Genomic DNA, 26,359 nt, shown 5'->3' with positions numbered 1-26,359 from the left:
TCTCTTGGGATAATCCAGCTTCTACCCAGAGGCTTTTATGTTATCCCCCAGAGAATCACAGTAGAAACTCTCCCTGAAGTAGAATCGCAGTGGAAACTCTCCCTGAAGTAACCATGATAACAACTTGCATTATCATCAGGAATGTAATCATTGTCACCTTGGAGCACTCAAAGGGAGGAGGCTTCTGCAGCCACATTTAAAGGCTTGGGAGAAAATATTGTGAATGCATTGTTACGCATTAATGACAATTCACAGCTGAAGCCAGTTTTTATCCTGTGCTGACAGCTGTTGGTGGAGACCACAGCAAATACTGCCAAATCCAAAACTAAATAGCGACATAAGCCCTTAACTTCACTATTCTAAAAATTCATCTGTTATAGTTAGGAGTGGGTTTGACTGTGAGTTATAGAAAACCCCCCAAACAACAGTGATTTAAATATGATAGAAGTTTATTTCTCTCTTACTTAGAGGAAATCCAGGGAGAGTTAGTTGAGGTCTGGTAGATGCCCCACAGTGTCAGGACCTGGAGCCTTCTATCTTTTCCTCATCCCCCACCCCACTTAGCACTTCCCTTTGGTCTCATGTTCCAGAATGGCTGCTTGAGGTCCAGCCATCATGTCTGCATTCTGGTGATCGGGAAGGAGGAAGAGACAAGGAAGGGCATACCCCCTCCTTTTAAGGACACTTTCTGGAAGTTGCACATGCCACTTCTACTTTTATCTCATGGGCTAGAACTTAGGCACATGGCTACATTTAGTTGGTAGGGAGATTGGGAAAGAATCTTTATTCAAAGTAGCCATGTGTCCAGCATAAAATGGTGGGGTTCTGTTACTAAGGGGGAAATGGAGAGTGGATCTTGGAAGACAGTTAGTGGTCTCTACCATCCTTCCTTCCAACCAACCAACCAACCAACCAACCAACCAACCAACCAGTGTGATGAACTGCCCTATTTAGTGAGGAGACACTTATGCAAATAACCAGCCATGATACAATGTGATATGGAGTATAAAAGAGTTTTGTTCAAAGCGCTGTGGGAGAACAGATGGAAATGATCAACAGCAATCATAATAATTAATAACTACAATGCCCTAGCCGGGTTCTCAGTGCTACATTCCGATGATTGTGTTTGTCCAGCTCCCTCTCTTTTCAGTGAGAGCTGCAAACCATTCTACTTCTCTAGAATAGCTAACACAATGGGCAGGCAGGGTGCTGTTCTGAGTTCTTTATGGATATTATCTCACAACAATCTTATGAACTGCTACTATTATCATTCTCATTTACAGATGGGAAAATGAGGCACAAGCCACCGAGCTGGGTTTTGGACCCGGGCAAGGCTCCAGAGCACACGGGCCTAACCGCTCTGTTCCGCTGCCCCCACCCAAAGCTGCTCATTTTCATTCCTTCCCCTACTCCCCAGACATCTCCAGCAGATAACCACCCCCCATCGCCCACTTCATTGTGATGATTGGGGTCAACTGGTGGGACTTCTGTCCACTTCCAAGCCAAACCCCAGCTTACTTAGATATCTTCCCTTGTCTCTTCCACCAGCCCTGCCTTCATCTTAGGAGTCAACCCCACTAAGCCTCGGTTTTCTGATCTACAAGTAGGGCTGACACTAACATCCATAGAGTGGGACTGTTTGTGAGGATTGAGCATGTTTATTCATGGAAAGTGCTTCTCCTGGCACATACTAAGTGCTTAGAAGATGTTATTCTTTTTTATCCATCCTTATATCTGGTTCCTCCTCTCTTCTCTCTCTTCATTTCATTTCTCTTTACAGGTTGTGTTAATGTTGTATTCCTGCTGAAACATTATCACAAATTCAGTGATGGAAAACAATACATATTTATTATCTGGGGTCAGAGTCTCAATGGGGTTTCAAACTGGGCTCTGGGAGGCTCTGGGAAGAATCCATTTGTCACCTTTTCCCAGTTTATAGAGGCTATCTGCATTCCTTCACTTGCAGCTTGCTTCTATCTTCAGAGCCAGCAGTGGTGGGTTGAGTCCCTAGGTTGCATTATTCCAACCTTGATTCTGTCATTCCATTTTCTTCTCTGACTCTTCTTCCTCCCTCTTTCATTTATAAAATGTGATTACACCAGGATAATCCAGGAGAGTCTCCTCTTCTTAGTATCCTTAACTTAATCGCATCTGCAAATTCCTTTTTGCCGTGGAAGGTAACATATTCCTGGGTTCTGGGGATGAGGATGTGGATTCCTTTGGTGGCTATTATTCTGCCTACACCACAGGTTCTTTCCTCTTGGGATACAGCAAGCAAGAAGCACCCAAAACAAAATATCCCTCTTTAACAGTACATTCTCTTCTGTCTTCCTCCCTTCTCAGCCAGGCTTTCTGAGGGTTGCCTTGACTAGTTTTCTCCACCTCCTGACAACCTGCTGCAGTCTGCATCTGCCCCCACATTCCACCAAACCCACTCTTGCTTGGATCACCCGTGGCTTCCAGATTGCAAAATCCGTGGGCACCTTTCATTCTTAACCGGCTGCGTTTTCCATGTTAGCTGCCCATTCCTTCATGAGACCTTTCTGTCCCCTCTCTGCTTTTATGTCACTTTCTGGTGGTTTTCTCCCCCTTCCTTTCTGGCTTAGTCTCCTCTATGAGCTGCACCGTCTCCACCCACCCCTGAAATGTCCGTGTTCTCCCGGGGTTTGGATCTTGGATCCGTTGTTCTTTTCTTGGGTGAGCTTGTCCCACACTGCTGGTTTTAAATGCCACTTGCACAGGGATAAGCGCCTCCTGCTTGTGCTGTACACATCTCTGGCTGCTGGCCAGGAGCGTTGGTGAGGACTGTGCTTCTGGTCATCCCATCAGCTCCTCGACTTCCTTGGTCTCCTTTGAGGCAGACATGTGAGAGAGCTCACTGAGGCAGTGGCTTGAGAAGCATGCAGCCTGGGGCACTTGGTCCTTCTGTTCCCGGCAGTATGGCTGTTTCCATCGCGATGGAATGGGATCCTCTCAAGACATCTCAGAGGACAGGCGGAAGGCAGCGAACATGGCAGTGCCGAAGGACACAGCTGTGTTTAGCAGGGGCGACAGGAAAGCACGCAGGTGTGGCAGATCATCAGGCACGTATTTATTGGAGCAACCCCCTCCTTTACCTTTGTGGTTTGCAACAGCTGTAGCTCTGAAGGAGCCACAAGCTAACTAGAGCACAAAGGCACAAAAACATTCAAAGTAAGTCAAGATGCATCCTAACAGTGCAGCTAGACATTCAAGACTCTCACCAGAAAGAGAACAATCTGCCTGAACGGCAGGGCTGCCTCTGAAGCCAGGAGGGCTGCTGAGGGAGGTGTGGTACTCAGGAGTGGTCTTGTGGGCAGTGGAGGGTGAAACAGGTAAAACAGGACTTAAGGAGGGAATGGACAAGGAGCCAGGAGGAGGAAGGCCATTTCAGGCAGAGGAGTAGCGTGTGCAAAGGCTTGGAGTCAGGATCGCTTATAGTCGATTCAAGGAACAAGGAGAATGTGGGGGAGATGAGGTTGAAGAGGAGGACTGTGTCCAGGACATCAGGGCCTCAGATAATGCTGGTACAGGAAGTCTGAACTTTGTCTTGTTGGTAGTAGGGGGCTGTGGAAGGGTTTTGAGCAGGGGAATGACTTGGCAGAGCTCAGCTTTAGGAAGACTATTCCAGTCTTGGGTGGACTGGGGAGGGCCCCAGATCTTAAAATATGCAAAATATAATTTTAGAGAGAGGAACTACCTTGGCAATTACTTATCTATTTCTATAATTGTATATATGTGTGTATTTTTAGATGTATATGTGTGTATATTTATATCTAATACATATATTTTAAATACATACACACATACACATTGGATGACCTAGATGGAGGGTGAGTGACAAAGGCACACAGTGAGAAAGCCAGCATTAGAACTCAGAGCTAACTCCTGGCCCCGTGCTCTTCCTCTGCAGGGTACTGATGGAGGCAGAGGTATCTGAAAGGAGGCCAGTCTAATCATCAGGGCAGATGGTGATGCAAACCTTGACCAGGGCAGGACAGGGCAGACACTGAGGGGAAGACTGTGTGGGAGGCAATGAGGATATGTTCTCTCTCCTTCTCCCTCTCTGGGTGGGGGTTGGGACATAGGGCTCGTTGGAGACTGCACATGAGTGCATCTCTCCTTCCTGGGTCCTGCAGCATCCTTCTGGGCCTGGTTTCTATGGCAACAGGCTCCCAGCAGGCAGCCTGCCAGCTGGAGAGAAGTAGGCAGGCAGGCAGGGAGAGAAGGCCTGGGCAGCAAGAGAAAGGCTGAAGTTGCGGGGGTTGGGAGAGTCTCTTGGGGAGGTGGAGGGACCCTAGAGCTGGGCCCACAATCCCTTCTGACCATGTAGGGGTGGAGGTAGCTCAGGACACACAGGCTTTTCTTTTGTGGTCCTTGAATTTCCAAACCTTGATCTTCTGTTTATCCCCCACCTCCCACATCTCCTGACTCCCACTTCTTAAAGTATTGCCTGGTCCCAACCTCATGCATCTTAAGCGGCCACTGACTTCTTTATAGAAAAGAACTCTGAATTCAGGGAAAAAATGAAAACGGCCAGTTGACTTTTTGGTTTGCATAAGATTTGCATATTATTAACTCAAAGACAAGAAATTTCCAGGCCCTATGTCATTCCTGCAAACAACTTAATTCAGCTCCACTGGCACTGACTTACTGTGTCTGGCCAGGCTCTGGGCTGAGCCATCGGGGTCCCTAGAGAAGTCCTCCCAGCTGCAGGCCCACTCCACCTCCAGCTGCTCCAAGGCATTTCTTCCTGTGATGTTCTAGCAGCTGGTGCAGTGGGAAGTGCTTGGACTGTGGAGCCCAGCAGCGCTGAGTCCAAATCCTGGCTCTGCTACTTTGAAGCTGGGTTTACTTAGTTTACTCATCTCTAGGTAGAGCTGAGGACACTCTAGTGCAGCTGGTGTAAACTAGCATAGACATAGAATTTGTTAAAATATTGAAATACTTCGGCCAGGCGTGGTGGCTCACACCTGTAATCCCAGCACGTTGGGAGGCCAAGGCGGGTGGATAACCTGAGGTCGGGAGTTCGAGACCAGCCTGACCAACATGGAGAAACCCTGTCTCTTCCAAAAAGAGACAAAAGGCGCATGCCTGTAATCCCAGTTACTCGGGAGGCTGAAGCAGGAGAATCGCTTGAACCCGGGAGGCGGAGGTTGCGGTGAGCCGAGATCGCGCCATTGCACTCCAGCCTGGGCAACAAGAGCAAAACTCCATCTCCAAAAAAAAAAAAAAAAAAAAAAAAATTGAAATATCTTCTGCCTTCACTGGTAAAGAGCCACCACCCTGGCTCCTCCCTGACCCCTCTAGCCCACCCCACAATCTAGCCTCTCCAGGGCACTGCTGCAGCATTTTGGTCTGTGCCTGCTCTGCCTGGTATATGCCAGCATCTGCTCTGTCCATGGACTGAACTGGTTGCTAAATAGCTTGGATATCACCCCTATCTAGAGGCAGTGCAATAGGTAGGTATATTATGTACGTAGCTGTTGCAAGGACCAATATATTTAAAGTGCATAGGTTAATGTCCATCACTTTGTAGGTTCCCTTTCTCATTCCCTTCCTTTTTTTTGCTTGGGGTGGGGGTGAGAGCTGGCATGAGCCTGGGCAATGGGGGATGACAGCCACCCCTCTCCCCAGGCGAGCAAGGTTCAAGCGCTCCAATAGTGTGACGGCTGGCGTGCAGGCAGACCTGGAGCTGGAGGGCCTGGCAGGCCTGGCCACGGTGGCCACAGAAGACAAGGCCCTGCAGTTTGGACGCTCCTTCCAGAGGCACGCCTCTGAGCCCCAGCCTGGGCCCCGGGCCCCCACCTACTCAGTCTTCCGCACGGTCCACACGCAGGGCCAGTGGGCCTACCGCGAGGGCTACCCACTGCCGTACGAGCCGCCGGCCACCGATGGGTCGCCCGGCCCTGCCCCCGCCCCCACCCCCGGCCCTGGGGCCGGCCGCCGTGACTCCTGGATAGAGCGCGGTTCACGTAGCCTCCCCGACTCAGGCCGCGCATCCCCCTGCCCACGCGACGGCGAGTGGTTCATCAAGATGCTGCGGGCAGAGGTGGAGAAGCTGGAGCACTGGTGCCAGCAGATGGAGCGTGAGGCGGAGGACTATGAGCTACCCGAGGAGAGTGAGTCACGGCATCGGAACAAGGGGACTCTGGGGACCATGGCCTCGTGTGTGCTCAGGAGACCCTGATGGGGGTGGCTGGGGCTGCAGTGTAACAGGAGGCCCCTTCGGTTGGTGCCTCACTGGTCTTCTGCACTGGAGCGTGGCGGGTCAACATCGGCAGCAAGACATGCTGGGAGCTCTTGAAAGGGAGCAGGGTGCACATGGTGCAGCTTTAGAGGCCAGGGCTGGGACTGCAGACACTGCAGGCCAAAGGGCTGGGCCTTCTATGGATGGCTGCTAGTCCAAATCACCAAGTTTATGGGGACTAAGGGAACTCCGTTCAGATCTGGACTGGTGTGGGGATCCAGGTGGTGCGACCAAGATTACAGAGAGGGAGGCAGTTCACAATGTCAGATCCTGTCTGAGGCACAGAAGAGGGAGATTCAGCCAGGGAGATGTGGCCCTGGCCCGAGGGAGAGCATGGCCCTTCCTGTAAGTCAGATCCACTGGGAGACACAGTCTTACCCCAGAATCTCTGAGTTGAGGGGACAGTGGCTATGAAGATGTGTTATGTACATGAAATTACTTGGTCATTCTTAAAGAGCCAAGGAGTCTTGCATGCACTGGGGAGTGATGAACAAAGCTTAGCCAGTGGGTGGTCATTGAGCTAATGCCCTGGCCAAGGCTATAGGGCTAGGCTGGGGCTGGTTTCCGTCTGTTCTCTGATACGGGAGGGAGAAAGGATAAAGAAGGATGAGCACTCAAGAAATGTAGGCTGTATGAAGGAGGGAACATCAGTGTCTGAGGATACAGTCTTGGTGTAGTGGAGCGAGAACTTGTTAGGAACTTGAGGATGGGATGGGGCTGGGGCTGGAGGAGACTGATGGATACACAGTGCCAAGCAACCGAGGGGTCAGCGTCATTCAGGGCAGACTTCGTGGAGGCTGGGGAAGGAGATGCATCATTTCCCTCCCTGAATTTCCTTCTGCTTTCTAGTCCTGGAGAAGATCCGCAGTGCTGTGGGCAGCACACAACTTCTCCTGTCCCAGAAGGTTCAGCAGTTCTTCCGGCTGTGTCAGCAAAGCATGGTGAGTGCCCATAGTAGTAGATCCTACCAGATACATGTGACCCAGAGTGTGTGTGTGCTGGAGGTGAGACAGGCAGGTGACCCAGAGTGAGTGTGTACCAGAGGTGAGACCAGGCCTGCATGCCTTCTGGGGTAGCTGTGAGTCTTGTGCCTGGAGGTAGGACCAGGTGTTTGTGCACAAGAAGGGGAGTCCTGGGCTCGCTCTTGTCCCCCTGTCTCCCAGCCCCCACCCACTCTCCCAGGCTGAGCTTCCTGGCAGTAAGGGTGGATAGGACTTTCTCTTGTCCTGGCTGGGGCTCAGACCTCCTTGACCAATCACTTTCCCTCCATCTTCCTCTGTTGCAGGATCCCACTGCGTTCCCTGTGCCCACCTTCCAGGACCTGGCGGGTTTCTGGGACCTCCTACAGCTCTCCATCGAGGATGTGACCCTCAAGTTCCTGGAGCTACAGCAACTCAAGGCCAACAGCTGGAAACTCCTGGAGCCTAAGGTGGGGCTGGGGTGCCTTCAGGCAAAGAGGCCAGACTCTGGGAAATTCCCCTCCCCAGAGAGGTGGAGGGTGGGACGAACAAGGGGGCAGGGGAAGGGATCCATGGGCAGCAAGGGCAGCCTTGGACAGGTGATAGGTGACCATCCCCTTCCAGAGTGACCACGCTCGTGGCCACTGCCGTCTGCTTGGCCCCAGTGCTCATCACTGCTTGAGCTGCCAGAACCCCAAGGCTTCCTCAGCGCGGGGGAGCGGGGTTGGGGGGGTGGCGGCGGCTGCAGCTGGAGAGAGCAAAAGTAGACCTTACGGAAGGACAGACTGTCCTCAGTTCGGGCCTAGGCATCGACGGCAGAGCCTTGAGGGTCCCCTCAGCCGCCAGGTCCCTGGACCTTGTCTGCGATGAGGGCCAGAGGCCTGGTATGTGCACCCTCATTGCGGAGCCTGGGTCGGGAACTCCCTCCTTCGGGTCGGGACCCGGAGTGAAAAACCGGCTCTGCTGCGAGCTGTTGAGAACGGCGCCACCAGGGGGCGCTCGAACGCGCCGCGCTTTGGTGGAAAATGTGGGGATTTGACCTTGTCGGAACAGGAGCACCTGGGGCTTCAGGTCACGGGATCCGTGGCGGATTCTGAGCGCCATCGCGTTCGGAGCCACGCGGTCGTCAGCACTCTGGGCGCGGGGGTGCGGGGGCGGACACCTGGGTGTTGGGATGGTTCGGCGCCCCAGCTCAGCGACGCCCTCTGCCCCGCAGGAGGAGAAGAAGGTCCCTCCGCCGATACCAAAGAAGCCCCTGCGGGGCCGGGGCGTGCCGGTGAAGGAGCGCTCCCTGGACTCCGTGGACCGGCAGCGGCAGGAAGCGCGCAAGCGGCTCCTGGCGGCCAAGCGCGCCGCTTCCTTCCGCCACAGCTCGGCCACCGAGAGCGCCGACAGCATCGAGATCTACATCCCCGAGGCCCAGACCAGGCTGTGACCGGTCCGGCCCGCCCAGCCCGGCCCGGGCCCGCGGTTCTCCACCCGTACTGTACACCCAGCGTCGAGGTCACTGTGAACGCGGGCCGCCCCGTGCGCCCGCCCCACCGGCACCGGACGCCCCGGCCCCCGGGCCCGTCACACTCTCGTGGGTTTTTTACCTTCCTGATCCCACGCGAAGGCGCCCGGGCTGGGCAGGGGGCCGTGCCTCTCCGCCCTGCGCCCCTCACCTGGATCCCCTGCCCACCTGGTCCGACGCTTTGTCCCCACCTCCTCCCCATGGGCACCATCTCTGCCATTCTTTCCCCCACGGGCCAGGCCGGGCCGGGTCCCTCATCTGGGCTCTGCGTCCCCCCCTCCCCCACCCCGCGGGGCTGGGCTTCGTGGGGATCAAGCTTCGTGGCTTTTTATGAAGAATCCCGAACCCTGCCTAGGAGCCCGCCCCACCCTCCCAGGGGCTCCATCCTCAGCCCTCTGCCCACTGGGCCCAGGGACCACAGTGGCTGGACCAACCCAGGACCAGGGCGCCTGGGCCTCTCCCCTTTCCCAGCGGCTGGGGAGGGGAGATGGGGGCTTCCCCTCACCACACCTGTGGCTGTTCCCACATCCCCTTGAATATCCCAGGAAAAATAAAACGGCAGAACTGCACTCGAGCCAGCTGCTCTCTCCAGAAGAGGCCACCTCCGTCCCGTGTGTGGGAGGACGGGGGTGAAGGGAGAAGGGACCGGGAGCCCACTCTCTTGGTTTGGAGATAGCAGGGGTTGCCTGAGCTCCTTCCAGGGATGGGCCAGCTGGTGGAAAGGAGATTCGGCCCCCTGATGCCCACAGTAAGGGCCTGGACCCTCCTGGAGGGGCCCAGGTGGGGTGAAGAGGGGGAGGGTGCCAAGCTCTCCGTTCTTCCTATTTCGGTGTATCCCGTTCTGCCTCCCAGTCCGCAGGGTTCCCCCAGAGAGGGAAGTCCGGAGCTCGCCGGGCACGCAGCATGTGCTCAATAAACCGGGAGTGTGGTTATTGTTAGGTATTGACAAATAATTGGTTTCCCTTCCCCTAGGGGCACAATGTTCCTTCTGCTCCAGTCATTCCTGATCAGCAGCAGAAAATCTTCAGTCCTGCCGCATTTTCTGATGCCTCCTATGGGTGGCCACCTTGGTGGAGGCTGGGGTGGGGGAAGAGGAAGTACAAAGAACAGAGCTCTCCTGGGAAGCTAAATGGCAACCAGAACCTAGTATCGATGGCTTTATTGAGTGGTCAGTGTGGGTCAGGCAAGGGGTGAGTGCTTTACATGAATGTGGCTGGTCCTTACAATAGAAGAGAAAGCCAAAGCTCAGGGCAGGTTACAAGACCTGTCTGAGGTCACAGGACTAAATGTGGTGGACCCAGGTCTAATGCCAAATCATGAGCTTTTAGCTTTGCAGGCTTCTTAGACCAGAGAGGGCTGATGGCAGTCTCCACCCAGAAAGCCCCTTTCCACTCCTTGAGCAGTCCTTTGGGTTGGTGTGTCACCTCCAGGCAGGAGGAAAAGCCTTCAGGATTGGCTGCTTTTCTGGGCCACACTGGGTCAGCTAATTCTTCTCATTCATTTATCCAGCAGACATTTATCACTTTTGGGCGCCACAGGAATAGCCCTGAACAAGATGTAGTTTCTACCCTTAATGGAACTTATGGTCATATGGGAAAAACAGACAAATAAGCAAGCAGTTAAAATACAGGAGTAAGTGCCAGAAAGATGATTAGAGATTAGCTGCTGAAGGAGGGCCAGGGCTGGGAAGAATGTTCCAAGATCAGGGAACAGCTGTGCAAAGGCTTGGAAGAGGAAGAGACATTGGGAGCACAGAGACTTGATTATATCAGTGTTTGGGTCTCATTGAGGCAGGTGGCCTGGGTCTTGTGGGCTGTAGGGAGCCATAGAAGGGTTTTGAACAGAGGAGTGGCATGAACGTTTTATAGACTGGTTTGGTAGACAACTTTGGAAAAGCAAGAGATGGTCCACGTACACACATGAGCCTGGAAGGTGAGGAGAACTCTAATGTGATCTGAATTCCCAAAAGCAGTCCGTTTGGAGGTGATCCCATACAGACTCCTGGGCCTGGTCCAAGACTTAGTGAATAGACTCTGCCCTCGAATAAGGTTTTAACAAGTGCTTCACAAGATTCTGAGCAGCCAGCTTTGGGAAGACTTAAATTGGATGACTGTCCAAAGGTCTCCAGTAGAAGGGCTGGGTCAGTTTACCTCTCTGAGGTTGTTTTATCATCTCTAAAATTGGGGGCATGGGTGAGGTTTGAACTCAGAGCAATGCTGTAAAACAGATATTGTTTTCACCCCCATTTACAGATGAGGAAATGGGCTTGGAGAGGTTTAAACAGCTTACCTCAAACCATGAAGCCAGGAAGTGGCTGAGTCTGAGTTTAACCTTTACATTTATACAGCATTTTATGGGTCTATGACTTTATTCATAGAGTTTTCCATGTCTGGTGTGGATGAGTCTCCTTTGGTTCTTGTGGCCTAGGTAGTTATGCTGAGCCCCATAGATAGTGAAAGATTAGGTCCAGTCCTTTTGCTTGAGTTGCTTACAGTCTGGCCATGGCCAGCATATAAACAGAAAGTTATGGTGCAAAGGGAAACCTGTTCTCCCAGAGGGGCCAAGGGATTGAGAGGAGAGAGCCTCTAGCAACCAGGGTGTTTTAGTCCATTTTGTGCTGCTATAACAATACCACAGACTGGATAACTTATAATGAACAGGTATTTATTGGCTCACAGTTCTGGGTGCTGGGGAATTCAGTGTCAAGGGGCTGGCAACTTGTGAGGGCCTTCTTGCTGTGTCATCCCATGGCAGGTGAGAGGGCAAGAGAGGGCAAGAGGGAGTTGAACTTGCCCTTTTATAAGGGTGTCAATCCACCCATGAGAGTGCAGCCCTCATGGCCTAATAACCTCTTAAAGGTCCCACCTCTTAATACAATGACAAATTTCAGTGTAAGTTTTGGAGGGTACAACCATAGCACAGGCAGTCTGGGAAAGCCTTCTGCCTTGTGAGTTGGATCTTGCAGGATGAATTAGCATTTTGTAGTCAAGGAAGAGAAGGGAGAAATTCATTTCTGGCCAAGGGACCAACCTGGGCAAAGCCATGGAAGCACATGTGTGTTGGGAATGAAAGCATAGGCTGGAGAGGGTGACAGGTTATGGTGGCTGTGGAGGGCGTGGAGGAGATACGGCCAGAAGGGACCCATAGAGTTGGGGGTGGGAGGCTAAGATGGAAACCTCATAGTTTTATTTGAAAGATGAAACTACGGCCAAAAGAAAGGAAATGGACTGGATGGGGCAACAAGACAGCAGGGAGACCATTCAGGGAGCTGCTAAAGTGGTCCAGGTAAGAGATAATGATGTTGACTTTGAGAGACATTTAGGAGGCATAAGTGCAGTAAGCTGGATCTGGAGAATAATGTAAAGATGGGACGCCTTGAAGGTGTCACTCAGATTTCTGGCTTAATGAATGAGTAATGCCACGAATGGACATAGGACATTACAGAAGGAGCAATACAGTTGGGAAATACTTAACATGTCAATAACCATTTACTGAGCACTGAGAAGGTGCAAACTACTATGCCAAGCACTTTATACACATTTAGGTGATTTAATACTCATAGCAACCCTAGGAGTGGGTACTATTATTGTCTTTTTTTAAAAACAAAGAGTGTAAATAGCTTTTCTGAGATAAGCAGACAAGAGTCAGGATTTGAACCCATGGCTATCTGATTTCTCAGTCTATGCTCCTGAGCCCCTCAGCAATTCTGCTTGAGGGAACTGCTAGCCATGACTCAAGACTCAGCTCAAGGCTTGGTTCCTCTAGGGAGCCTTCCCTGAATCTTCCTGGCTGGGCTGAAGATCCTCCTCTGTGCTGCGTGTGTATACTTCTGTCATCACATTTCTTACATTCTATTGACATTTTGTAGACCCATCTGTTTCTTTAGTCAGAGAACTCTGGAGGCAGGTTGGTCCCAGTCATTTTTGCATCCCCATTGCCTAGCACATGATTGGCTGACCAAATGCCAGTTACTCTGGACAGTTCTGTTCCCTTCTCCTCTCCACATATTCAGTTAGTGAGCAGGTTCTGCTAACAACGGTCTCCTAAATATTTATTTGTACTGTTGGGGCTCAGAAAGCGATACCCCAAAGACTGGCGCTTTGACATGCTGAGAGGCCTTCGAAGCTGCCTCAGAATCAAGGTCCCTCTAACCTTCTCTCCCAAGTATAGGGAGGCACTCTCTCTAGAATTTCCTAATCTGATCGAGAAAACGTCTTTCCAAAAGAAACAAAATTGCCTTCCTCCCCTCTCCGAAATCTCATCTAGCTCAGAAAAGAAGACTGAGGAAGGCAACTACGCCTGGATGGATTTTTCACAAGATGATGCCTGTTTCTCGGGCTCATTCAAATTCTAAAGAGAATCATTTACAAGTTAATTTCTGTCCATTTTTTCGCCCTAAGAATCACTTGCTGCCCTCAGAAGAATTGTCTATATTCTCCATCTCTCCCCTTCCCCTATGAAAAAGAGTGTATACGCTTCTGTACCCCATTGGGTTATTGGGTAATCATTCTCCTGTGACCCTTCCCTTCCCACCCCCTCGCCTCCCCGCCCCGTGCTATGCACGTTAAAATAAAATTTTGTATGTCTTTTCTCCTATTAATCTGCCTTTTGTCAGTTGATTTTCAGTGAACCTTGGCCCCTACAATACTGTTCCCTTTTCTCCATCTTCACTGCCAGAGCTTAGCTTTGAGCTGTTTGAGATAATAGAGGAAGGGTGTCTAATGTGATAAGCAGTCTATGTATGAGGCTTCCTCTGGAGGTGACCCTTAAGCTTGAAAATTGTGCCAGAGCACAATCTGGCATAGTAAAGAAAGGTGGGAAGGGCACTACATGGCCAGGCACGGTGGCTCATGCCTGTAATCCCAGCACTTTGGGAGGCTGAGGCGGGCGGATTGCTTGAGCTCAGGAGTTCGAGACCAGCCCTAGCAACATGGTGAAACCCAGTCTCTACAAAAAGTACAAAAATTAGCCAGGCCTGGTGGTGTGCATCTGTGGTCCCAGCTACTCGGAAGGCTGAAGTGGGAGGATCACTTGAGCCCAGGAGGTTGAGGCTGCAGTGAGCTATGATTGTGCCACTGCACTCTAGCCTGGGCAACAGAGCGAGAGTCCTGTTAAAAAAAAAAAAAAAAGCGGCCAGGCGCAGTGGCTCACGCCTGTAATCCCAGCACTTTGGGAGGCCGATGCGGGCAGATCACCTGAGGTCGGGAGTTCGAGACCAGCTTCCCCAACATGGAGAAACCCCTTCTCTATTAAAAATACAAAATTAGCCGGGCGTGGTGGTGCATGCCTGTGATCCCAGCTACTCAGGAGGCTGAGGCAGGGGAATCACTTGAACCTGGGAGGCGGAGGTTGCGGTGAGCCGAGATCACGCCATTGCACTCCAGCCCAGGCAACAAGAGTGAAATTGAACAACAACAACAAAAAAGGTGGGAAGGTAGATGAAAAAGCATCAATAAGGCACTGAGGTGTGAAACAGTGTGGTCTGCCGGGTTTAGTATGTGCGAGCAAAATAAATATGCAGGCTGAGATTAGTGGGATGAGGGTGGGAAGGGCCTTGTGGGAGCATTAACAAGCTTGAGCTTTGGGACTTTTCTGTATATGATAAAATTGATGTCTGTATAGGGTACAGTGGGGACACAGAGGAGGAAGTGAATACTTGTACCCAAGAGGTCATGTAAGACTTAGGTTTTACTATATTTGAATTATTTTTACACTAACAATAGCCACATTTATTTCCCTGCTGGCTGTGTGCCTGCCACAGTACTTTACAAATATTATCTCTTCCAACCCTCACACCATCCTTGCGAAATGGGTGTTATTACCTCTACACAGAAGGGGAAGGGAGGCTCAGACAGGTTAATAATGTTCCCAAGGTCACTAGAAAGCTAGCCCGGATCCCAAGAGGTCTTAAAGCACTAAAATATACTCTTCTAAGAAGAGCTTCTTGAGGTCAGGGATCATGTCTTTTGTTTTTGCGTGCCCAGACCTAGGTCTTAGAAGACGCCTAATAAACATCAGTTGAAAAAAATGACTGGATGATCTTTCACTTTTTCCACGCAGAAAACACGTGGCGACATCACTGAGAAACCTCCCGGCCAACAGAGGGCGCGACGTCCATTTCAGCGCAGTGGGGCCCAGTTGCGGACGCCTAGCTTCCTTCCGTCCTTTGGCTGAAGTTCAGCCAATCCCTGCGCTCCGAGAGAGCCGGCGGCCAGTGGGCAGGGTCACAGGGCAAGGTCCCGCGGGCCGCTGGGTGCGGCGACTTCCGTGCTCCCGGCGAGCGGGCGGAGAGCGGGGGCCGCACTGGGGAGTGTGGGCTGGGCCGCAGGTGAGCGCGCGGTCCCGGCGAGCAGGTCGGGTCAGCCCAGGCCAGTAACCTCTGAGTTACGGGAGGAGTGATCGCTAGGGTCCACCCCGGTCCCGGCCAGATCTGCCAGCTCCCCTCTCTGGCGGGTGTTCTGGTGCCAAGTCTGGGAGCCCAGGTAGCCCTCCGCAGACAGGGCTTCTCGGCACCTCAATGAGGACGGACGTTGATGAGGCCATGAATGAGGTGGGCTAGGGACAGGGGACCGGGAGACTCACAGAAGGGAGAAGGGTAGCCATTTGGATGGACCTTCGCCTTACTTGCGCTCCCATTCCTGGACTGCGCTCTAGTGACTGTCAGGGCTAATTCTTCCGCCTTCTCAGGCCTCCTGTGTCCTTGTTAGTAGTTCTTGAATTTGGGACTACGGCTTCTGGCCTCGTTGGGCCTCCGGGCCCTCGCACTGGGGCAGGTTTCCCAGCAGCCCAGTTGACCTTTACCGGATGCTTTTGGCAGACGTCCTCCATGCCGGGCTGGAAATATGCGTCACAGTGTTTTTCAGACACTTTTGCCTCTTTCATTGTGATACCCTGCCTGGGGACGACTATGATGGAGTCTTTAGGTTTTTGTAATCAGCAAAGGCATCTGTTATGCTCCTGCCACCTTTTGGGGGAGAGTGGGTGGAGGATGTTGTGATTTTACACTAGGGAGTTTGGGCTGTCATTCATTCGTTCAGCAGACCTTTTTTGGGCACTCTGCCAGGCAGGGTAGGAGAGGTGCCTGGATGGATAGGGCATAATTGGGCCAGACAGACACGGTTCTTAGCCTTTTGGAGCTTAAAGTGTCTTGAGAAACGCAGACAGGGTAAGCCAGCATCGTGCCTGACACAGAGTAAGTGGTTATAAGTGTCGAATAAAGGAATGAATTGACTTATTTGGGAATGATTAGAATGTGAGCAGGACGGTAGCGAGAGACTTTATGCTGCATGTGAGAGATAGTTGTGAACTCATGCGCGATATGTTTTAAGACAGGTTTGGAAATCTGAACGGACAGTTGCTATTTAGGGAAGCATTTACTTATACAGAGGACTTGCTTTAAAGGTGGAAGTAAAATGGAGAAGTATTAGGTTTGGGATTCTTCAGAGGTGCCTCTTTTAACTATTACTATGTCTCTGAATTTCATAAATCCCTGAGTACAATCTCAGAGTTTGGGAAAAGGAAAGCTCTTCTAGGTAATGAAATGCCAGGCTGATGGGAAAAAACTGTAGGAAGCTCTCCCTAAGTCCAGGGTTTGGACAGAAACCGTATACCTCTGCAGTGTGTTCTTCCCACTAGAAAGAGTGTAGGCTTTGAAATTGGAGAGGCCTGGGTTCAAAATCAGTGGCTCTATCACTTCTAGTGATCTTGGATAAGTTAACATAATGTCTGTGAGCCTTTGTGGCCTTCACAAGAGTCTGGGCTAATAATTCCTACATCATAGAGGTGTTATGAGGATCAAATGATGATTAGTGTGTAAATTGTCATCATAGTGCCTGGTGCTGAGACAATAAGCGGGGGAGTCTTGGAGATGCTGCAATTTTTTTTTTTTTTTTAAATTTCATGATGCTGCCTTATTGCAGGGGTCCTTAACCCCCTGGGCCACAGACCAGTGGTGGTCTTCAGCCCATTAGAAACTGGGCTGCACAGCAGGAGGTGAGCGGTGGGCAAGCTGGCAAGCATTACCGCCTGAGCTCCACCTTCTGATAGATCAGCAGCGGCATTAGATTCTCACAGGAGTGCAAACTCTATTGTGAACTGCGCATGTGAGGGATCTACGTTGTGTGCCCCTTATGAGAATCTAATGCCTGATGATCTGAGCTGGAACAGTTTCATCCCGAAACCATCCCTCTCCAACCCCCATCTGTGGAAAAATTGTCTTCCACGAAACTGGTCCCTGGTGCCAAATATAGATTGGGGACCGCTGCCTTATAGTGTTACGTCTAGAGAACATTGGGATTCCTTCAAAGAGAATTGGAACCAAAGAGAGAGGGGGAGAATCATCTTATCCTTGGTGAGGTTTCGATTGTTCACTTTAGATCAGAGATAGTAGTGTTGGAGAAATACCTACAGGGGCATAAACAGAAAGATCTTTTAGTGGATACTTTTGGGCAAGTCTCTTAACCCTCTGATAGTGGGTTATGTATCTACCTCACGTGGTGGACATGAGGATTAAGAGAGTGAGTGTATATGAAGCACCTAGCCCAAGGCCTGGCATGTAAGTGCTCAATAAATGGTAGCTGTGTTATTATAACTGTGAATGATCTTTGATAATTGATAATGGTAATAATCATTTGAGATGGAATTGGCCATTAGAGTGATCCAATTTGTGTGTTTTTACATTACTTTGGTATTGCCCTACTTCAATTCAGGAGGCCCTGAGGCCATTCCACTCCGCTCCCCGCCCCACCCCACCCCACCCCACCCCCCGGGCTTGTACAGTGATTTTTCACAGAAAATCTTCAGGTTCTGCGGTATCCAGAGTATGTATAATGATTTGTGATATTTTCAGGAGCTTTTTATGTAAATATGAAGGTATGGGTTTGGTTGAAGATAGGATTTTTTTTTTTTTCTTGAGACGGAGTTTCGTTCTGCCGCCCAGGCTGGAGTGCAGTGGCTTGATCTTAGCTCACTGCAACCTCCGCCTCCCAGGTTCAAGTGATTCTCCTGCCTCAGCCTCCTGAGTAATGGGGATTACAAGCCTCCCAAAGTTCTGGAATTACAGGTGTGAGCCACCGTCTTTAGCCAAGATAGGATATTTTGAAAATGGTTTAGTCAGCAGATTTGTAAAGTATAGGTTTGTTCCATTGTTAGAAAAGCCAGGTTCAGAACAGGATAAAACCATTATCTATTTACCTAAAATCCAGAATAATTAGGTAATGCATTATGTATTTGACTGTTTAAATATGCTCCTTATGCTTTACATGAGGAAAAGGAACGACTTTTCATATTGTGAAACCAGGAGATTCATCGTAGATTGTGTTTCATGGGGAAAAGGTGGCCGGCTGTGCTCATGGAGAAATTTCATAGAGCAGAGAAAGGCATCTTTTTCCCTTCTTGAAATGTTGGCAGACTAGGTCCTGGGGTCAACAATAGGCTTGAAGCTCTATTAGGTAAGGCTCAGAGGTCCCCTTGTGGGGAACATTGTCATATATTGGTGCACACTTGTCAAAGAGTACGGTCCGTAAAATGGAGATCCTTCCTTCTTCCCTAACAATGGAATCTTTTGAAATTTCCTAGATTATTTCAGGGATCCACCTCTCGCATTGCTCTGCACGGGGGTGGGTGCTCAGTAAATTGTGCCAGGCTGGCCAGGTGTGGTGGCTCACGCCTGTAATTCCAGCACTTTGGGAGGCTGAGGTGGGTGAATCACGAGGTCAGGAGTTCAAGACCAGCCTGACCAACATGGTGAAACCCTGTCTCTACTAAAAAAATACAGAAATTAGCTGTAATCCCAGCTACTTGGGAGGCTGAGGCAGATAATTGCTTGAACCTGGGAGGTGGAGGGTGCGGTGAGCTGAGATCGTGCCACTGCACTCCAGCCTGGGCGACAGAGCAAGACTCCGTCTCAAAAAAAAAAAAAAATTGTGCCAGGCTGCCTGGTAAGTGGAGAGCTCTAGTGGGTTGCTCTTATTTGGTGGGAGATGATGCTGGGTTCTCTAATGCTGCCTTGTGCTTTTCCGCAGATGTCATGTGGCCTGTGTTTTGGACCGTGGTTCGTACCTATGCTCCTTATGTCACATTCCCTGTTGCCTTCGTGGTCGGGGCTGTGGGTTACCACCTGGAATGGTTCATCAGGGGAAAGGACCCCCAGCCCGTGGAGGAGGAAAAGAGCATCTCAGAGCGCCGGGAGGATCGCAAGCTGGATGAGCTTCTAGGCAAGGACCACACGCAGGTGGTGAGCCTTAAGGACAAGCTAGAATTTGCCCCGAAAGCTGTGCTGAACAGAAACCGCCCAGAGAAGAATTAATGGAGGACACAGGGCCCTATGGTCCTACTGTGGGTGGTGACTTGTCCTGCTACCATGTTGACAGAGCCCCAGAACCCACATCTAATTGGCTTTGTTGCTTATTCTGGCCCTTCCCACACCACACAGCCACACAAATACTGGCTGCTCCTTGATGGCCAGGCAGACCCAGCAGCAGCCGAGGGGCCAGTGAAGAGGAAGGCCGCATCTGTTGTGTGGTGGCCACAAGCACTCAGGCATCTGAGTTTACTGGTGCACTGCTGGGAGGAGAGTTATGAGATGAACATTGGCTGTCAATCTCTGTGGGCAGGCGGTTTGGCCTCTAGTGGGAATGGCTGGGATTTGGGCGTTGCCTTTAGGAGGGATACCTGCATGTCTAGTTCCAGTCTGCACTGGAAAGAATTCAAATATGCACCTGGCTCCCTTCACTATTTTGCCCTATCCTTTGTGCTCATTCTTACTGAAATCTGTCTTGTCAGCTCAGGAATGGGATTCCCCCAGGAAGGAAAGCACTTTTCTGTTCTGGGAAGCCCAGACTGTTCACTTTGGGGCAGGGACGAACATGTGCCTCGTGAATTTGCTTGAAAACAGTCACCATCTTCTACCCCCATCACTGTATAGTGAAAAACCTGATTAAAGTGGTATCTGAGAACCATAATGATCGAATCTTATCATCCAGGTGGTATTTGGGGGTCTTCTTAGGAGTTAGGCAAGTACAGGCATTTTAGAGCAGGATAACATTGGTATTAAAGGGTGCCAAGGAGCCCTGGAAACTGCTTTACTAGTGCGGTTGCACTGAACCCTGGAGGCACAGATTCCCAGGAACCTTTTTACCATTATTACAATTGGCTGCAGCACCTTCAAGTCTAAATGGAGGTAGACCTCACATACACACACATAGACGCCTTTCCCTATAAAAGTATATACGCACATTCAAGAAAATTTGGTAGGGATTTTAAAAAGGTCACCCATGTTCCCAGCTCGTTAATAACAACCGTTAACATTTTGTTGTCTTTTACTAATTCTCTGCATAGGTTTTAGAGATAGTTATCATTACTGTACATTTAATTTTATATACTTTTCTCACTATTATCATTTTCCCATTTTACATGGTCATCATAATTGGTTTTTTGGAGACAGGGTCTCACTCTGTCACACAGGCTGGAGTGCAGTACAATTACGGCTCAGTGCAACCTTGACCTCCTGGGCTCAAGTGATCCTCTCACTTCAGCTCCTCAAGTAGATGGGACTACAGGAGTATGCCACCATGCCCAGCTAATTTTTTTATTTTTTTGTAGAACCAGGTCTCACTATGTTGCCCAGGCTAGTCTCAAACTCCTGGGCTCAAGTGATCCTCCGGCCTTGGCCTGTAGTTTCTTTTTTCTTTTTTTTTGGAGATGGACTCTCATTCTGTCACCCGGGCTGGAGTGCAGTGGCGTGATCTTGGCTGACTGCAACTTCTGCCTCCTGGGTTCAAGCGATTCTCCTACCTCAGCTTCCTAAGTAGCTGGGATTACAGGCGTGCGCCATCGTGCCTGGCTAGTTTTTGTGTTTTTAGTAAAGACAGGGGTTTCACCATCTTGGCCAGGCTGGTCTCGAACTCCTGACCTCAAGCGATCCCATCTGCCTCGGCCTCCCAAAGTGCTGGGATTACAGGTGTGAGGCACCGTGCCTGGCAGTCTGTAGTTTTTTTTTGTTGTTGTTGTTGTTGTTGTTTTAAATATGGAGTCTCGCTGTATTGCCCAGGCTGGAGTGCAGTGGCGCGATCTTGGTTCACTGCAACCTCCACCTCTTGGGTTCAAGCGATTCTCCTGCCTCAGCCTCCTGAGTAGCTGGGATTACAGGTGTGCGCCGCTACGCCTGGCTAATTTTTGTATTTTTAGTAGAGACAGGGTTTCACCATGTTGGTCAGGCTGGTCTCAAACTTCTGACCTTGTGATCTGCCTGCCTTGGCCTCCTAAAGTGCTGGGATTACAGGCGTGAGCCACCGTGCCTGGCTGTAGTTGTTTATAATAGCAACATAATTGTCTATCAAGTGGGAGTATGACATAAGTTTATCCTGGACAATTTCCATATTGCTGGACATTTGAATTGTTTCTGGTTGGTCACTCGTTTAGATACTGCAACGAATATCTTATATGAAGCTTTTCCTGCGTTTTGGAATAAACAGTAAAAATAGTAAATGTCATTTTGGATGAAATGGGATAAATGAGCAGTTTTGAGGATCTCATGCATAACACCAAATGTCTTTCCAAAAGGGCTCTAGGAGTTTCTACTAAATCTTACCACTGAAGACGTTGCTGGTAAGGCTGTGAGGGGAGTAAAAGCAGAGAGCAGGAAGAAGCATAAGAAGCTGTTGCCTCTTGAAGCCTACTGATGTTTAACTAAAGTCAGCACAGGGCAGTAGTGAGCATTTGATGAATTGATCTGCCTCTAAAAGGGAGTGGGTATTGGCCCTGCTTCTTAGGTTCTCTCTCGTGAGGCCTGATGGTGTCCACAGGTGGGTGAGGGTGGAGTTCCTGAACAGTTAGAGGGGCCAGCTGTGAAGAGGTGCCAGCTGGAGGTGCCTTCCAGGACCTGGTGGTGGCCTGAGAGGAGGGAGCAGGTTGAGTCGTTGGCTTCTTCTAAGGCTCCCTGAGGCCTAGTGGGAATGCGGAAATGAGCTGCTGTTGCTTCCCAGGGAACAAATCGGATGGAACTTGGGAAGAGACTGTCAGCTACCAAGTAAGGAGATTTCTGGTTCTGGCTGCAGGTTCTGGCTGATGAGCAGGCCTTATCGGCACACCAGTGCTGCCACCCTATGGCAGTCCTGGGCATTACCAAGCCTGCAGTCACTTCCCTGGGCTAAACCAAACACTAGTGCTGACAGAGGTCAGGTGACAAATGAGCCACCACGCTGGCAGAAAGTATAGACCTGCCGAAAGGGGGCAGTGGTGACTCACCTTCCAATCTGCTGCTCATCCAGTGGTACCAGATTTTTGAATTTTTCTAAAAGATGTTCTAAGAGCTCCAGAGGGGGTAAAAAAAAAAAAATGAAGAGATGCTAGAAATTCAGGGTTTTTTGGTGTGTGTAACCTTCTGATTTTCAAGTGTTGATAATTCATTATACAAAATTCTAAGCATGCTATCATACCCGTGGGGTTAATTTGACCCAGTGGCTGCCAATTTGTGACCTCTCAAACTGCCTCCTCCTTCTGATGACACCTATAATTATGGTTTTTTTTTTTTTTTTTTTTTTGGCGATCTAACAACTTGTTACAAATATTAGATCCCAGAATTGGTTTCCCTCAAAACACTTTTGGGCATCCTGTACAAAGGCAGCTTAATAACCTAAGAAAAATGTGAGGATGGAAAGCCTACAGAAATAATAGCAAACACATTTCCCATGGACATTTTTGGATTTTCAGATCTTTTAAAATATCCCTGTCACCACCCGTTGGCCTCCACTTGGTGTCTGGTCGAGAGAGCCCTATCTTTGGGAATCCAGGTGGCTCCCTTCTTCCAGTCTCACTTTGATTGTGCCCCCTTTTAAATTCTTTTCTTTCCTTTCCAAGGGCACTTTGTCACTGAATTCTTCCTCTAGCAAGTCTATTAGTGTTCTCAGCTAGATCTTTCTTTCCCACAGGCTGGCTGAAATCAGCCGTTGCGGTGGCTGTAAGATAGTATATGTGCTCTTGCCTCTGCTCGGGTGACATTAGATAGCAAGGTTTATGTGGACGTGGGTATAGACAGGTCAGGGTTGCTGGGATGAACCAAGGTGCAGACCGGTTTTCTTCCATGCTTGCTGATTCACCTTGGAGGCATGTGACCCTCTTTTTGACTGGCCTTCCAGTCACAGTTCACTGAAACACATGAGTGAGTGGATGTGCTTGGGGCTTTTTGCTCCCCGCTTACCCCCGTCTCTTCCCAGCCCAATGATGGTGGTGGCTTTAGTATAGGGTCCTCTCCGAGCACGGCAGGAATCACTTCTCTCCCTGCAGCGGTTCAGTGTCTGGTGCTTTTCCACTCTTTCTAGACTCTTTCCTGTGCCTGTTGCTGTGTTAGCACAAGTCGGCTGGGCAGCTGCCAGAACAAGCCTGCCAGGGAGCCTTTTGACTCTGGTCAGCTCCCCAGGGCTCCAGGCTGGTGGGACTGCCGCTGAGTGAAACATCATGGAATTAGCCTTGCCAGAGTCTGGGTTGGGAGCCAGGCAGTGAAAATGTAAAAGCCCCTCCGTCTTGCTCACTTTTCCTTTTCTACTTTGCTTTAGATCTCTAAGCACTTGTAGGGTAGGGAGCCAGGGCAGTGTAGCAGAGGAAAAATAAAGTGGATTCTAGAGTCTGACAGGCTCGAGTTATGAATACTGCCTTAACAATTAACTGGATGACCTTGGGCAAGTCACTTAGCCCTTCTGAACCTCAATATCCTCACCTGTAAAATAGGGGTAAGAATTTTTGTTGGGTTGTTGTGAGGATGAGGTAATTATGTAAGGTTCTTAGCATAGTACGCTAAGAACTTTATATACATTGTCACAGACTGTGCTAAAACTTTACATACATTACCTCATCCTCACAACAACCAGTAGGTACTCAGTAAATGTTAGCAGCTTTAATTGTATTGCAGGAAGAACCTATGTTTCCTGCAATAGTTGTGTGTATCCTTGTGACCCTGGTGAGGTGGGGATCTAGGGGAGAGAGCAGCCTTGGCTGAGGGACAACAGGGACCCTCATAGACCTGGTGGTTGAGGGCTGCTTAGAAATATTTCACAGAGAGAACTGGCTTGCATAAGAACCAAGAAGCACAAGCTGGTCAGGAGATTGCAGGCTCCACACCTGCCTTAGTGGTAGTTCCATCAGTGCAGTCTGCAAAGTCAGAGGGAAGCAGATTGGCCAGAATGCCCAGGAGGTCACAGATCAGGAGAATTGGGAGGGGAAAGAGCCTTGGACTTGGAGGCAAGCGATCTGAGTGATGACCTGGGGTATGCCGCTTCACCTCTACTGGCCTTGGTTTCCCTGCAAAATGGGGAACGTGTTCCCTGCTGATCGTGTGAAAAGAGTGAGACAACCAGTTTAGAGTGCTCTGAAAACATGCAAGTGCTAGATATTACAGCCCAGTAAAACCTCCTTTATCTAGTTGGGATGGCAGCCAGTCTGAATAATAAAATACAAATACATGTGCTATTATTTCTTTCCTGTACAGAGCGTATTTTATAGTATTTGCTAAGTAGAAGTCTTTAGGGGAATCAGTTTGAAGAGTGAAGAGTAATTAGTAACCGGTGTATCAGTTTTCATCCTGTTCCAGCAGTGCCTCTGGTACTTAAAAAACAGTTTATTCTTTTTGAATTAAACTTGTTAACATCAATTATGTGTTAATCAGATCCTTTTTACATAATACAAAAGTAAACTCTGGCTTTGTTTTTTGTTAAAAAATGCCTAATGGGCCCTTCTAATTATTCAGATTTAAAAAAATCTTTACTAGCGCCCCAGCAAGGGCACCTTTTCCATGTAGAAGAATCCAAAGTCCTTAGGGCCCTTATTCCCTCTCTCACTGCCCAGTTTCTTCACTTCCAACCCCTGCTGCAATTCCGTTTCTCCTTCTCTGAGCCTAAGCTGCTAAGTGCAGCTGGAGTAATTTGCATAACCATCTCGCCCGGCCCTCTTCCTTCATGGGTTGTGGATGCAACAGAGTCTGCAACACTTCAAGGTAATTTTTTTTTTTTTTTTTTTTTTTTTTTTTTTTGAGACGGAGTCTCGCTTTGTCACCCAGGCTGGAGTGCAGTGACAGGATCTCAGCTCACTGTAAGCTCCGCCTCCTGGGTTCACACCATTCTCCTGCCTCAGCCTCCCGAGTAGCTGGGACTACAGGCGTCCGCCACCATGCCTGGCTAATTTTTTGTACTTTTTTAGTAGAGACGGGGTTTCACCACGTTAGCCAGGATGGTCTCGATCTCCTGACCTCGTGATCTGCCCGCCTTGGCCTCCCAAAGTGCTGGGATTATAGGTGTGAGCCACCGTGCCCGGCCAAGGTAATCTTTTTTTAATCCAAACTCCTCGAGGCTCCCAACCCCATCCCTGTGCCCTTTGTTGCTCTTTACTGCTTGCTCTCTGCCTCCACCAATACAGTGGTCAAGGCATTTTGGTTCAAAGCCTTTGTAATTGCAGATCTTATATACTGGTCATATTCTCGCTTTTTGCAGTACACAACATTCTCTTCATGGGATTCTCCCTTGACATCACCACATCTCAGTTTCCTTTTCCAGCTCTCCTGCCCCTGCTCCCTCCTGTTCTAATGTGAGTGCTTTTCCAGCTTCATTCTTGCCTGTTTTCTTGCTGGACAGTCTTAGCCTCATCTGTGGCTTCACCCACCCCAGTGGCGATGACTCTCAAATGTATATCTCTAGTTCAGAATTTCCCCCTAAATTCTAGATCATTATCCAAAACAGCATACCACCCATCTCTGTCTAGATTTACCATATAATATAACGGTTGAAATGTTGACCTGGGTTTGAAGCCTAACTCTGTAATCTAGCTGTGTGACTAGAGAAGTTATTTAAATTTTCTGAACATCATCTGTAAAATGGGGCTAATTCTGCCTACTTCACAGAGTGGTGACATTGACATAGTGTTTATGTTTATAAGACACCTAGTGCAGTGTCTGGCAGAGTCTCTGCCCTCTGTCCTGTTGTTGAGGTTGTTTTTGATCTTGCCCCTCCTCCCTCCCATGGATTCCATCACCCACCCATGGTGGCCACTTCTACATCTGAAATCCATCCTTTGTTTTCCACCTTATTCCGCTGCTTTTGGCCCTCTTCATTCCTTGCCTAAGCTTTTGGTTTCTTCCTGAAAATTCTCCCCATTTCTGCCAGCATTTTCTTTCTGAAGACCTTCCTGGCTCCTCGCCTACAGGAAACAAATGAAAGGCGCTTGCATGTCATGCAAGCTCTTTCACCATCGTGCCCCTGCCCACCTCCTTAGCTTCATCTCCCATTGTTCCCCATGATAGAACCTAGTTTTTGCCACATCTTGAATATGTTATGCCCATTTAAACTTTGAGACCTCCATGTGCCCTACACATCGTGCCTCCTTGGTACTTCCCTCACTGGCTGCCTGGTAACTAGTAAACTCCTAGTTACACTATAGGATTTAGCATGCGGGGCCACCTGCAGTTTTCCTAAGCACAGATTGTCTTTCCTGCTCTGCTTCTCTAGCCCTGTGTTCATTCTTCCACTGCAAGAATGTTGTTAAATAAGGCACTGGGATTGGTGTGTCTGTATCCCCCCCTAGACTGTGAGTTCCTTGAGGGCAGGGACCAATTCTTACTCCTCTGCCCCTTGCAGA

At 49.7% G+C, this 26,359-nt stretch overlaps 2 protein-coding genes across 12 annotated transcripts in view, besides 7 other annotated features; both read left to right on the top strand.

Moving 5' to 3' along the window:
* DLGAP3 (DLG associated protein 3) overlaps positions 1-9,309 on the top strand; it is a 64,215-nt gene extending 54,906 nt beyond the window's left edge. For all 4 annotated transcript variants that reach the window (NM_001080418.3, XM_011541879.3, XM_047426631.1 and 1 more), the window contains 4 exons: positions 5,656-6,140; positions 7,118-7,209; positions 7,554-7,697; positions 8,444-9,309. In NM_001080418.3, the coding sequence (NP_001073887.1) occupies positions 5,656-6,140; positions 7,118-7,209; positions 7,554-7,697; positions 8,444-8,662 (940 nt within the window). In that variant the 3' untranslated portion in view covers positions 8,663-9,309. The remainder of the gene's footprint in view (positions 1-5,655; positions 6,141-7,117; positions 7,210-7,553; positions 7,698-8,443) is intronic.
* Positions 8,201-8,330: an enhancer, noted in NCBI's record as "active region_720". NCBI's record gives its function as "activates an Ori minimal core promoter by ATAC-STARR-seq in GM12878 lymphoblastoid cells {active_cell/tissue: GM12878}" and the evidence as "EXISTENCE:reporter gene assay evidence [ECO:0000049][PMID:35858748]".
* Positions 8,381-8,480: an enhancer, noted in NCBI's record as "active region_719". NCBI's record gives its function as "activates an Ori minimal core promoter by ATAC-STARR-seq in GM12878 lymphoblastoid cells {active_cell/tissue: GM12878}" and the evidence as "EXISTENCE:reporter gene assay evidence [ECO:0000049][PMID:35858748]".
* Positions 8,531-8,610: an enhancer, noted in NCBI's record as "active region_718". NCBI's record gives its function as "activates an Ori minimal core promoter by ATAC-STARR-seq in GM12878 lymphoblastoid cells {active_cell/tissue: GM12878}" and the evidence as "EXISTENCE:reporter gene assay evidence [ECO:0000049][PMID:35858748]".
* Positions 8,771-8,820: a silencer, noted in NCBI's record as "silent region_629". NCBI's record gives its function as "represses an Ori minimal core promoter by ATAC-STARR-seq in GM12878 lymphoblastoid cells {active_cell/tissue: GM12878}" and the evidence as "EXISTENCE:reporter gene assay evidence [ECO:0000049][PMID:35858748]".
* On the top strand, positions 14,996-24,383 carry SMIM12 (small integral membrane protein 12). 8 transcript variants are annotated; one of them, NM_001164824.2, is made up of 3 exons: positions 15,700-15,905; positions 18,006-18,189; positions 18,763-24,383. In NM_001164824.2, the coding sequence occupies exon 3, from the start codon at positions 18,768-18,770 to the stop codon at positions 19,044-19,046; it is 279 nt and encodes a 92-aa protein (NP_001158296.1). In that variant the 5' UTR covers positions 15,700-15,905; positions 18,006-18,189; positions 18,763-18,767; the 3' UTR covers positions 19,047-24,383. The 8 variants fall into 8 exon arrangements, with proteins under 8 accessions (NP_612437.3, NP_001307190.1, NP_001158297.1 ...); NM_138428.6 differs by lacking the exons at positions 15,700-15,905; positions 18,006-18,189 and adding an exon at positions 14,996-15,068; NM_001320261.2 differs by lacking the exons at positions 15,700-15,905; positions 18,006-18,189 and adding an exon at positions 14,996-15,093.
* Positions 15,045-15,174: a silencer, noted in NCBI's record as "silent region_628". NCBI's record gives its function as "represses an Ori minimal core promoter by ATAC-STARR-seq in GM12878 lymphoblastoid cells {active_cell/tissue: GM12878}" and the evidence as "EXISTENCE:reporter gene assay evidence [ECO:0000049][PMID:35858748]".
* Positions 20,224-21,094: an enhancer, noted in NCBI's record as "H3K27ac-H3K4me1 hESC enhancer chr1:35319252-35320122 (GRCh37/hg19 assembly coordinates)". NCBI's record gives its function as "activates a minimal SCP1, AML or CMV promoter by ChIP-STARR-seq in primed H9 embryonic stem cells {active_cell/tissue: H9 hESC(primed)}" and the evidence as "EXISTENCE:reporter gene assay evidence [ECO:0000049][PMID:30033119]".
* Positions 21,519-21,748: an enhancer, noted in NCBI's record as "active region_717". NCBI's record gives its function as "activates an Ori minimal core promoter by ATAC-STARR-seq in GM12878 lymphoblastoid cells {active_cell/tissue: GM12878}" and the evidence as "EXISTENCE:reporter gene assay evidence [ECO:0000049][PMID:35858748]".
* Positions 24,384-26,359: the final 1,976 nt, after the last annotated feature.

This window comes from Homo sapiens, chromosome 1, assembly GCF_000001405.40.
Source record: "Homo sapiens chromosome 1, GRCh38.p14 Primary Assembly".
Classification (NCBI taxonomy): Eukaryota; Metazoa; Chordata; class Mammalia; order Primates; family Hominidae; genus Homo; species Homo sapiens.
This window is presented reverse-complemented; position numbering and strand designations above follow the sequence as displayed.

Bases quoted from the DNA above. Each gene is read 5' to 3' on its own strand.
- SMIM12 (XM_011540554.4), top strand. From the start codon at position 17,376: ATGGAATTGGCCATTAGAGTGATCCAATTTGTGTGTTTTTACATTACT. The intron at 17,560-18,762 runs GTATGTATAATG...GCTTTTCCGCAG, and splicing joins CAGGTTCTGCGGTATCCAGA to ATGTCATGTGGCCTGTGTTT.